Source organism: Homo sapiens, chromosome 20 (assembly GCF_000001405.40).
Source record: "Homo sapiens chromosome 20, GRCh38.p14 Primary Assembly".
Classification (NCBI taxonomy): domain Eukaryota; kingdom Metazoa; phylum Chordata; class Mammalia; order Primates; family Hominidae; genus Homo; species Homo sapiens.
In genome coordinates this window covers 2,638,878-2,651,757 of record NC_000020.11, presented here as the reverse complement: position 1 = coordinate 2,651,757, position 12,880 = coordinate 2,638,878, and the positions used below count along the sequence as shown (strand labels likewise).

Here is a 12,880-nt window from a genome sequence, read left to right as displayed (position 1 = left end):
GTTTTGCTTTAATAATTAATATTAACGTTATAAATCCAAAACCTAGTTATACTTAAGTAGCGTATCCCCTGGTATGTTTTAAAGAGTCATTCGAAGGGGATTTTTAAAAATAATGTATAGCTATAAACTGCATTTATACATTTAATTGTTATTTTGTTAAGCGATTGAGTTACTTGACAAAATCCAAGTACATAGTTCACTCACAAATCTAATATGTCAAACCTAAATGTGGTTGGTAAATCTTACTCTCATAATTTCAATATGGTTTACAGATGTGGTTGAATTCTGTTACACATGTCTACTTACGAGTCAGAATCGTTATTCCATTTAATATTTTAAAATGGAATTGCCAAGTTAATCCATACATTAGCATGTTAAATTATTTTAACCGTCGTGAATACATCAAAATAGACGATTCCAAAATGTAATGGAAAATACTAATGCTAATACTTCAATTTACTTCATTATTTCTGCCCTTAATCCTGAATCTTCCTGGAGTTACAGGTGCTTATCCACTAAACCAGGGGTTTTCAAGCAAGAAGTCAGAATGCATTAATGGACAGCATTTAAAAAAATAGGATTGGGTGGGCTATAATCCAGCACTTTAGGAGGCCGAGGCAGGCGGATCACTTAAGATCAGGAGTTCGAGACCAGCCTGGCCAACATGGTGAAACCCCGTCTCTACCAAAAAATAAAAAAATTAGCTGGACGTGGTGGAGCATGTCTGTAATCCCAGCTACTCGGGAGGCTGAGGAAGGAGAATCGCTTGAACCCGGGAGGCAGAGGCTGCACTCTAGCCTGGGCAACAGAGCAAGGCTCTGTCAAAAAAAAAAAAAAAAAAAAAAAAAAGAAAAAGGATTAAAGCGAATAGAAATAAGAGTGTGTTGCTTAGAGTAAGGTGCTGTTCATTGTAAAACTTTTGTCTCAGCTCTACATACATATATAGAAATATGTACACAAATATTTTTCATATATACATATATATGTAACTATATGAACACACTTTTGTGTGTTAAATCAGAATATAAAAAACCTGAGGGTCAATCAATGAGCCAAAAGGTAACCAGTCGTACTCTGGAAAAATTTGGGTCCTCTGGTTACAAAGGAGCTGTCATGAAGTAGTTTGCTGACTTACAGAGATGGCTGAAGAAAAGTGCTTCTGCTGGTGAGATAACCAATGCTTGTGATCAGATATGGATGTGGTATGAACATTAAAAGGTTTCCTTCGGTTTTCTCATCTCCATCCCTTCAATAAAATATCTCACCCTGATACTTGTAGTCTGACTCTAGTGGGATAACACAGGACTCCTGTTATCCTTGACACTGTTATCCAGTTATCCAGGGGGCATCTCTGCAACCTGTGGTGGAGTAGACCATCTTTGCCTTCCGCTTGGACTGTTTGCTGGGTGCACTGCTCCTGTCTAGGCTCAGGTCTTCACCACCAAAGTAGACTTTTTACAAAACCTTTGGTTTCCCCTTCAAGGCACTTTCTACTGCCAGAATGATCTTTCTAAGGCAGAATATCCAACCAGGTGCAATTTGTGGGTGCTTACAGGGTCATGAAATACCACCTATGGTAGTTAGTTTCCACAAATGGCCAAGATAGACGTGTGGGTGAAGCCATCCTGTGTGTCCCAGCCCCTGTCACCATCTCAGTGCAGCCATGTAAGGCCCCAAACAAGACCAGCAGAACCACCATCTGCATCTTGTCTACCCTGATTGTGACAAATAGTACATTGCGGTTTTCAGCCACTAAATGTAAGGGTGAGTTGTTAAGCAGCAGTAAATTTGAATCGGTCAGCTCACGTGGGTTCAAGCCCCAGCTCTGCCAGTACTTACAATGTGATCTTAATCACTGAATCTTCCTGAGCTTTCATTTCCTTTGCAGAATGAAGGTTGGGGTTTCATTCATCCCTTTAACAAACATTTATTGAAGATCTCCTGTGGGCCAGGTGTGACAATGGTGTACCTGGCATGTAGTGGGAGCTCAAAAAATATTAGTGGTCTTTCATCTTGCTCTTTTGTCCTTTAATTAATAAATAGCACAACAAAATGTTTTATCACCTATTTTCAGTTGAGTCTCAGTTCTCTGCAGTTATCACCTTGCATAGAAGCTACTGAAACCTCATTTTTTTCTTTTTTGGGACAGGGTCTCCTGTAGCCCAGGTTGGAATGCAGTGGCACAATCTTTGCTCATTGCAACCTTGATTTCCTGGGCTCAAGTGATCATCCTGCCTCAGCCTCCCAAGTAGCTGGGACTACTGGTGTACACCCCCATGCCTGACTAATTTTTTTGTAGAGATAGGGTTTTGCCATGTTGCCCAGGCTGATCTCAAACTCCTGGGCTTGAGCTATCCTGCTCTCCTCTGCCTCCCCAAATGCTGGGATTACAGGTGTGTGCCACCACACCCAGCTAATTTTTGTATTATTGGTAGAGACGGGGTTTTACCATGTTGGCCAGGCTGGTCTCGAACTCCTGACCTCAGGTGATCCACCTGCCTCGGTCTCTCAAAGTATCGGGATTACAGGTGTGAGCCACTGTGCCTGGCCAGGATCTTATTTTTTATGGCTGAATAGTACTCCATTGTGTATACATACCACGTTTTCTTTTCTTTTTTTTTTTGAGATGGAGTCTCGCTCTGTTGCCCAGGCTGGAGTGCAGTGGCGTGATCTCGGCTCACTGCAAGCTCCACTTCCTGGTTCAGCCTTCTGAGTAGCTGGGATTACAGGCGTCTGGCACCACACCTGGCTAATTTTTGTATTTTTATTTTATTTTATTTTATTTTATTATTATTATTATTATTATTATTATTATTATTATTATTATTTGAGACGGAGTCTCGCCCTGTCGCCCAGGCTGGAGTGCAGTGGCGCAATCTTGGCTCACTGCAAGCTCCGCCTCCCAGGTTCACGCCATTCTCCTGCCTCAGCCTCCCGAGTAGCTGAGACTACAGGCGACCGCCACCGCATCCGGCTAATTTTTTGTATTTTTAGTAGAGATGGGGTTTCTCCGTGTTAGCCAGGATGGTCTCAATCTCCTGACCTTGTGATCCGCCCGCCTTGGCCTCCCTAAGTGTTGGGATTACAGGCGTGAGCCACCACGTCTGGCTAATTTTTGCATTTTTAGTAGAGAGAGGTTTCACCATGTTGGCCAGGCTGGTCTCAAACTCCTGACCTTGTGATCTGCCTGCCTCAGCCTCCCAAAGTGTGAGCCAGCGCTCCCTGCTGATTTTTGTATTTTTAGTAGAGACGGGGTTTACCATGTTGGCCAACCTGGTCTCAAACTCCTGACCTCAGGTGATCTGCCTGCCGCGGCCTCCTAAAGTGATGGGATTACAGGCATGAGCCACCATGCCTGGCCTGTATATCTTATTTTGAGAAATGTCTATTCAGATCTTTTGCCTATTTTTAAATTGGATTATTATGTTTTTTCCTTAAAGAGTTGTTTGAGCTCCTTATATGTTCTAGATTTTGGATTTTCGAATTAGGGATGCTCAACCTGGTAAGTATTATGCAAATATTCTAAAATCTGAAAAAGAATTTGAAATCCAAAACACTTCTGGTTGCAAGCATTTTGGATAAGGGATACTCAACTTGTACTAACCTGTGACCCCTGACTTCAGAGACTTTGCAATCCTGGGAGACTGAATATAATCAGGTGCTAAGATGCAGTTGTATGCAAGCTGACAGGAAGACAATTTGGCCCAGTGTTCCTGAGGTAGACTTCATGGCAAGAAGGGATTTAGCTATTCATAGAAGAGTGTGTAGGTCATTTAGAGATGGAGGATGGAAAGAGAGTGGAAGCAAAAGCCAGAAACAAGAGAAGAACCTGCTAGAGGTGTAAAATGCAAACTGGTCAGTAGTTGGACAAAAGACTGAAGGATCTAGAATGTAAGAAACCTTGAATGAAAGTCAGGATGAGTGGTTTTGGTCTGATGAGACTCTTGCTTTTCCATTAAGCAGTGTTTGGAGATTAATTTGGAGGTGATATGGAGGACAAATTGCTCACAGGGCTCCCACTGAGCAAATGTCCTGCAGGGACAGCAGGTCTGAGTGGGAGCCATGAGTTTCCCAGATGTGCTCCAGGTTCCACATTAAAGCCAGGTGGCAGGTGGGGCCTATTTCTTTTTCTCTGTCCATAAGACTGTTCACCCATTGGGAAGAACCATATACTATATCATCTGACCTTTTTCATTTAGCCCAGCCTATGGCTAACTGTGTCATTTTGGTGTCCATTAGCCCAAGGTTTTTACTCTGGCAACACTAATGGGGACCTATGGAAGTGGAATGTGCTATTTCAGTTTCAGTGCCAGGCCATGCACAGTGGCTCACGCCTGTAATCCCAGCACTTTGGGAGGCCGAGGTGGGTGGATCACTTGAGGTCAGGAGTTCGAGACCAGCCTAGCCAACATGGTGAAACCCCATCTCTACTAAAAATACAAAAATGAGCTGGGCGCGGTGGTGGGCACCTATAATCCCAGGTACTTGGGAGGCTGAGGCAGGAGAATCGCTTGAACCCGGAAGTCGGAGGCTGCAGTGAGCCAAGATCGCTCCACTGCACTCCAGCCTAGGCGACAGCGAGATTCCATCTCAAAAATAAATAAATAAATAAATAAATAAATAAATAAATAAATAAAATAAATTCAGTGCCTTGGGAGAGCTTCGGGAAAGGAAATTTCATGAAACTACCACAAGAGGGCGGCACTTTATACTCCTTTTGTGAGTGAGAAAATTCTCATAAAATTTAAAAGGCTTGCTAGCAATTCCTGGGCTCTTTTCTCAAAAGTGGAAAGAAACCCTACAATATTCTTTGGCAGTGAGTTACATGTATATGCAGCATTTCTTTATAAAGACACAGGAGAATGAAAAGTACCTTGGGAAGGTGGTTTAGCCCAGCATTCCTTGTGTTTTTTTGGCAGTGATGACCTGGCAGCTTCTGAAGCCTGGCCATTGATTAGGATTATAGAGCACAAGATACTGTTGTGTTTATCCCCTGAGCCCAAGGATGTTAGATCTTATCCATGCCTGTGATGATATCTGTTATTTATTGAGTACTTAGCATAATGCTTGGCACATTACAGTCTTACTTCCATCAACTTGTTGAATCTTCACAGACAAATTTGGAGGTTGGTTTTATATAGCCCATTTTCCAGACGCGGTTCAGTGATAGAGTTATCTGTATGCTCTATATACCACATCTACCCCAACTATGACCTTGGGCCTTTCTTCATGTTTTTCAAGCTAATACTATATTGAAAGATAAAGTATCTGGCACAACACTGCAGACAGTTGTCTTTAATAGCAATCCTCACACTCTATAAACAAACCTGCTTAGAATATTTGATGGTACTCACACACCTGGTGATTTTGCCATTGAAAATTATACTTCAGTTTTTATTCCCTAGGAATCAAAAGGGATAAAGTTCCTATCTTATTTTTGTTTTTGAGACAGGGTCCCTCACTTTGTCACCCAGGCTGTAGTGCAGTGGTGTGGTCTCGGCTCACTGCAACCTCTGACTCCTGGGCTCAAGCGATCCTTTCCATCTCAGCCTTCCGAGTAGTTGGAACTACAGGCATGCACTGGCTAATTTTTGTATTTTTTGTAGAAATGGGGTATCACCATTTTGCCCAGGCTGGTCTCGAACTCCTGGGCTCAAGCAATCCACTTGCCTCAGCCTCCAAAATGCTAGGATTACAGGCATGAGCCACCATGCCTGGCCTCTATCCTTAGTTTTAAAGTCATCTCTTGGGAACAGCTTATAGGATTTTAAAATCTCCATCAGATAGTCTTTGCCTTCTATCTAGAAGTTTAGTCCGTTTGCATTTATTTTGATTCCTGATATATTTTGGTTTATTTCTTTCGTCTTATGTGCTTTATATTTTATTTGTTGTGCTATTTTTGTTTATTTGCCTTTTTTCTTCCTGTTTTGGAGGCACTATCAACCTAATGCCACTTTTTTTTTTCTTTTCTGAGATGGGGTTTTGCTCTTGTTGCCCAGACTGGAGTGCAATGGTACAATCTCGGCTCACCACAACCTCCGCCTCCCGGGTTCAAGCGATTCTCCTGCCTCAGCCTCTCGAGTGGCTGGGATTACAGGCATGAGCCAACATGCCCAGCTGATTTTTGAATTTTTGGTAGAGACGGGGTTTCACCATGTTGGACAGGATGGTCTCGGCCTCTTGACCTTGTGATCCACCCGTCTTGGCCTTCCAAAGTGCTGGGATTACAGGTGTGAGCCATCACGCCTGGCCTGAAAGTCTTGAAAAAAATAAATTAAAATTTTCATTTGAGTTTTTTGGAACATACAGATACAGTTGACCCTTGAACAACATGGGTTTGAACTTCACAGATCCACTTATATGTGATTTTCTTCCATCTCTGCCACCCCTAAGACAGCAAGACCGACCCCTTTTCTTCCTCCTCCTCCTCCTCCTCAGCCTACTCAGCATGAAGATGACAAGGATGAAGACTTACGATGATCCACTTTTGCTTGATGAATATTAAATATATTTTCTCCTCTTCATGATCTTCTTAATAACATTTTTTCCTAGCTAGCTTATTCTATTGCAAGAATACAGTATTAATACATGTAACATATAAAATTTGTGTTAACTGACTTTATGTTATCAGTAAAACTTCCATTCAACAGCAGACTACCATTAGTTAACTTCTGGGGAAGTCAAAAGCTATACATGGGTTTTTGACTGCAGGGGGGTCAGCACTCCTAGACCCAGTGTTGTTCAAGGGTCAACTGTAGCATATGAATTTAGAGCCTCTCTGTGAGAGCTGCCTTGTGGCTAGAACTTCTCAATGGAGACTTTTTCTCCTCTACTTTCTGCCAAGGTCAAGAGAAATACATGTCTCTTTCTGCATGGCGGGTTTATTTTTTATTGTCCATTATTGAGCATGAGGAACTTGGTGCTCCAGCTTTGGGTGGGTCTCTACCCACCCACTTCAGAGCACGTCTGAAGTGACTTTACTGAGCTGAGCGTTACCACCATAGTGAGTGCTATTGGTAACCTGCCCAGATCACCTTACTGGCTGGTGCATCAGCCCCTCCCCTTAGTTTCTGCGAGTGTGCAAATCAGTGGGAGACCAGGTATCCCCTTTGATCTTCTTCATCTAAAGTGTCTTCCTACTTATGTGATTCTGTGTACTATGGAGCTCTTAGGAAATAGAAATGGAAGTTGAAGTTATTAGAAGTGAAAGGATCAGCCTACAAAAATAGCTTCCAACAGATAAAATCCAGCATCTGCTCCATTTCTCTCCAGTTAGGAATGCGCAGCCAAACTAGGGTAATATCAGCAGGACACCAGTTATATTTCTCTGGATAAATGGTTAATTTTCTTCTTTCTTTTTTTTCTTTTCTTTTCAGACGGAGTCTTGCTCTGTCACCCAAGCTGGAGTACAGTGGTACAATCTCGGCTCACTGCAACCTCCGCCTCCTGGGTTCAAGCGATTCTCCTGCCTCAGCCTCCCAAGTAGCTGGGATTACAGAAGCGCACCACCACACCTGGTTAATTTTTGTATTTTTAGTAGAGACGAGGTTTCACCATGTTGGCCAGGCTGGTCTCAAACTTCTGACCTCAAGTGATCCACCCACCTCGGCCTCCCAAAGTGCTGGGATTACAGGCATGAGCCACCACGCCTGGCCAGAGTTGTCTTGATAGAGGTCTTGTAATTATTTGAATTAGAAAATTTTCTGTTAAAATATGTCCACAAATTCTTTGGTAACCCTCCCTTCAAGAAGTGAAGCCTAAATCCCTTCCCTTCCAGTGTGAGCTAGACTTAGTGACTCAGTTCTATGAGTAAAAGTGGTGGAACTGATAGTGTGACTTCTGAGACTAGGTCATAATAGGCATTGTGGCTTCCTCCTTGCTCTCCCTCTCAGATCACTTGCTCTGGGGGAAACCAGCAGCCATGTTGTGAGGACACCCAAGCAGCTCTATGGAGAGGCCTACATGGAGAGTAACCAAGGTCCCCTATCAATAGCCAGCAAGGAACAGAAGCCTCCTGCCAACAGTCACGTGTGAGCCATGTTGAGAGCAGATCTTTCAGTCCCAGTCAGACCTTCCAATAATTGTAGCCCTAGCTGAGAATTTGACTGAAATATCCGGAACCACATCTGCCTAGTTAAGCCACTCCCAAATTTATAACCCACAGAACAGAAACTACATACAATAATACATAATTGTTTATTGTTTTAGGCTGTTATGTTTTGGGAATAATTTGTTATGCAGCATTAGATGACATATACATTCCGTCACATAAAATTACACTTCATCAGATCAGGATGGTTGGTTTGTGTTTGTGGTGGGTATTTATGTGTATTAGTAACCAGTGGAGGCCTGACAGTAATCACTAGGGGACCAATGGCTCAGGCAGGCAGAGTGTTCCCTGCCTCAGGGCCTGGCATTCTGATGCAGAAGGCCAGGTGTTGGTGTGGTGGCCATCTTTGGGCCTTCTGGTCCTGATTGGTTGGGTTACAGTGCCAGGATCCCTGTACTGAGGTTTCAGGTAGGTTAGCTTGGGGGAAGGCATATGACACACAGGCAGTTTTGGATTTGGGGCTTGGACCTGGGTTCCATGGAAATCAGGCATTGCAACATCTTCGTTAGCCTTGCCAGGAGAGATTGGTGTGAAATAATTTATCCTGTTTCTCCTGGTCACATGTCCCTATTATTCCATTGCAGTTTGTATATATATGTGAAGTTTTGGTGCTGGATTGAGAAGGGAAGGGATTTGGGAGGGAAGTTAGAAATTATTTTAATTGTACAGCTTATGAAATTGCTGTAAAAATCTTCGTCTCTCTGCCAGGGCTTTGCCTGACTTTCTGAGTCTGGGGGATTCTCCTGAGAACCCCTGGGGGCCTGGTTGGGTGGTGGCTGTAACAGTTGATGAGGTTAAGGTGGCTGACTCTCTTTAGAACACTCAGAGACATGGGTGAGAGGGTCTCTGGGGCCCTCTGAGGCCTCACTGCTTACCTGGGTCTGGGAGCACAGAGTGGAGGAAAGGAAGGAGCTGTGTGCAAGATAGCTGGGCTGTTGCAGAGTCCTGGACTGTGACTCCCACCCTACCTAGGCTCTGCCCTTGCCATCAAGGCCTTCTTAATGGTCTGGCCCCTGGCTTCTTCCCCCTAAGAAATATTCTGCATAGAACCATGATATGACACTAAGTGAACATAGAATCCCCAGAGACAACGCTCTGCATTGTACCTTTTGCAAAACTCTTCAGAGAAACCATCTTCAAGGTCTTTTGTACAATAATCATGTTATCAAATTCCTTTTAGAATTTGGTGCATGAAAAAGATTTTTCTGCCCTGGGTAAGGCAGGTTTCCTTCCAAGATAAGAGGCACTGGGCAACTCACTCGCTCCTGTGATTCACTGTTTTCACTCCCTGTTTTGTGCTCCATGGTGTAAGCTTCCCTTGGGCTGGGTACTGGGGTATCACCAGTCTTCCCACCAATCCCCACTCTCCATGACTGGTCTTTGGTCCATTTACCTTTATTTTCATTCACTTTCATTTACTTTGATTCATTTATCTATTTGTAGAGACAAGGGTCTTGCTCTGTTGCTCAGGCTCATCTGAAACCCCTGGCCTCCCACTTCAGCCTCTTAAAGTGTTGGGATTACAGGTGTGAGCCACCACTCCTGGCCAGACTTGTTGTTGTTAAGACAGCGTCTCACTCTGTTGCCCAGACTGGAGTGCAGTGACGTGATCTTAGCTAACTGCAACCTCTGCCTCCTGGGCTCAAGTGATCCTTCTGCCTCAGCCTCCCAAGTAGCTGGGATTACAGGTGCATACCACCATGCCTAGCTAATTTTTTTGTAGGGATGGGGTTTCGCCACATTGCCCGGGCTGGTCTTGAACTCCTGGGCTCAAGCGATCCACCCACCTTGGTCTCCCAAAGTGCTGGGACTACAGGTGTGAGCCACTGTGCCTGGCCTGGACCTTTCATTTAAACCAGCTCACTTCCTCTGGATTGAGAAATGTAGGCCCTTCTCCATCCCCCTCCTGGTTAGGGAAGCTGGCAGAAACCCGTGTCCTAAACTGTATCCCATGGAAAAAGTCTACGAGGGTGGTCATGGCCCTTCCCCAACTCCGAAAATCGGGAGGCAAGGTCGACCACTGTGAGCGTGGGGTTCAGAGCTGTCTGAACCAAGATATTTGGGAGGGCAGTTAGTGCAGAGATGGCTCCAGCTTCCCTAAAGGACAGGTGAAGCCACTGTCTTCCTCCTTCGGTAGCTGACAAGGGCCTGAAGGAATCAAAGTTCATGCATTCCAAGAGAGGAGACAGAGCATGTATGTGAGAGGAAAGAGGGGAGAGAACCTTGGTTTGGTATGTGTGAAACTGGGGTACTTGAGGATCAGCCCTAGGGTCGAGGCTCCCTGGAGTCCTAGCCATCAGTGGGGAGGTCTCTGAGCACTCTTTCCAGAGGCTGACCTCCACGGATGAGTCTGAGATGGGGCGTGGCCAGAATCTGGTCCGATTCCAGGGGGCCGAGATATAGGAAGGTGTCCAGAGGCAGGCAGTGTGGTCCTGCTGGCAGAATTGGAGGTCCCAGGGCCCTGCGCCTTCTTGTCCATGGCCTGGCTTTGGCTGGCAGAGGGAGGAGTGGTCTCTGGAAAACGAACCAAGACAAGAAAGAGGAAGTGGGAGATTTTGTACAGGTTGGATTGGAGCTCTCTGGAGTCGCCCTGCGGTGTGTGTAGGTTTTAGTCCTATTTGGTGATGTGAGAGCTGTCGGATTGCACTCAGCTGTCTCGGGGTCACCTTGGCCTGGCTTTTGCATAAACACATCTGTTGGAGGAGTATGGTCTTCTGGCTAGAGAACTTGATTTTGAACCTGGCCTTAGGCTAGACTCTCTGATCCCGGGTTTTCTAGAGTACAAAATTGGGACAAGAATAACGGCAGCCTCGCAGGGTGACTGCCGGGGTCAAAAGTGATGACGGAAGGGGAGGGGCTGTGGGAATTGTTTGGAATCAGATCTACTTTCCAATCCTTCATTAACTTGTTTCCTTCCCCTCCTCTAACTCCAAGTTAGGGAAAATGACTGCTCTTTACTAAACCCAGTCCCTCTTGTTCTGGGACACAGAAATGGGCTCTGGTTCCCTTGTGGATGAGTGTGGCCTGTGCTGGAGTTCCAGGCTTTGATGGGACCACATCCAGGTGTGTCCCCTAAGCTCTTCCCCTTGCACTAGCTTGATGCAGGCAGAGCCCCAAGATGGAAGGAGCCAGGGTCCCCATATCAGCACTTGAGGCTGTCAGGTGAAAGCACCCAGTTTGGACTTTGTGTTGAGTGAGAAATGAACTTTTATGGTGTCTGAGCCACTAGCCATTTTGGGCCTCTTTGTTGCAGCAGCTAGTATCATTTTATTATAGCGAATACTTAATAATAAAAAATGAATAAAATTCCAGTTACTAAGAAATTGGAATGCTTGTATAAAAAAAAAGTTCAGGCCAGGTGCAGTGGCTCATGCCTGTAATCCCAGCACTTTGGGAGGCCGTTTGAGGCGGATCACTTGAGGCTGATCATTTGAGGTCAGGAGTTTGAGACCAGCCTGGCCAACGTGGTGAAATCCCATCTCTACTAAAAATACAAAAATTAGCCAGGCATGGTGGCAGGTGCCTGTAATAACAGCCACTCAGAAGACTGAGCAGGAGAATCACTTGAACCTGGGAGGCAGAGGTTGCGGTGATCAGAGATCGTGCCACTGCACTCCAGCCTGGGCGACAGAGTGTGACTCCATCTCAAAAAAATAAAGTTCAAATTCCTAAACTGTCAGTCATTCCTTATGCATCTCATTCACTTCTTACATCCAAGGCTAAAGTGTCTGCGTGCAGACACTGTTTAATTTTAAAACAGAGATGATCTCTGGAAAATGGGATCATCTCAGAGATGGTCTCTTTCAACTTGACCTTTCCTCACTCCTAATTTGAGGTGGTCTATGATCACTCCCCTTTGAAGCCCCAGGATATTTTCACTTGATCTTAGCCAAAAGGCCGAGGAGCAATAGCCCCAAGATACTTTCCTGGGAACTTTTTATGTTGACTTTTCTCACTCTATTATTCTAGATATTCCAGTGCTTCTCTTTTCAGAGAATATAAACTATAGCACACGTTGCTTAAGGATGCGGATACATTCTGAGAAATGCATCATTAGGTGATTTTGTTGTTGTGTGACCATCATAGAATGTACTTACCCAAACCTAGACGGCATGGCCTGTTATACACATAGGCTATATGGTTCAGCCTATTGCTCCTAGATTATAAACCTGCACAACACTTACTGTACTGAATACTTTATAAACAGTTGGAACATAATGGTAAATATTTGTGTATCTAAACATAGAAAAGGTAGAGTATATGAAAGATGACAAATGGTAAACCTGTCTAGGGCACTGACCATGAGTGGAGCTTGCAGGACTGGAAGTTGCTCTGGGTGAGTCAGTGAGTGGGTGATGAGTGAATGTGAAAGCCTAGGACACCACTGTCACTACTGCAGACTTTATAAACACTGCGCACTTAGGTTACACTCAATTTACAAATATTTTTTCTAGGCCGGACGCGGTGGCTCAGGCCTGTCATCCCAGCACTTTGGGAGGCCGAGGCGGGCGGATCACGAGGTCAGGAGTTCAAGAACGGCCTGGCCAACATGGTGAAACCCTGTCTCTACTAAAAGTACAAAAAATTAGCCAGGCATGGTGGTGGGCACCTGTAATCCCAGCTACTCAGGAGGCTGAGGCAGGAGAATCACTTGAACCCTGGAGGTGGAGGCTGCAGTGAGCCGAGATCACACCACTGCATTCCAGCCTGGGTGACAGAGTGAGACTCTGTCTCAAAAAAAATTTTTTTTTTCTTTCTTCAATAATAAAC

The 12,880-nt window shown here is 44.7% G+C and overlaps 1 protein-coding gene and 1 long non-coding RNA gene across 3 annotated transcripts in view; one reads left to right on the top strand and one right to left on the bottom strand.

The window, feature by feature from the left end:
* Positions 1–12,880, top strand: part of LOC105372505 (uncharacterized) — a 38,419-nt gene that overhangs the window by 707 nt on the left and 24,832 nt on the right. Inside the window, exon 2 of the long non-coding RNA XR_007067502.1 lies at positions 7,377–8,030. This is a non-coding gene — a long non-coding RNA (uncharacterized LOC105372505). The remainder of the gene's footprint in view (positions 1–7,376; positions 8,031–12,880) is intronic.
* The window catches only part of TMC2 (transmembrane channel like 2), a 107,008-nt gene continuing 102,305 nt past the window's right edge, over positions 8,178–12,880 (bottom strand). Inside the window, exon 20 of one of the 2 annotated variants that reach the window (NM_080751.3) lies at positions 8,178–10,624. In NM_080751.3, coding sequence (NP_542789.2) covers positions 10,407–10,624 — 218 coding nt within the window. In that variant the 3' untranslated portion in view covers positions 8,178–10,406. The remainder of the gene's footprint in view (positions 10,625–12,880) is intronic. The other variant, XM_005260660.5, reaches the window with a different exon arrangement.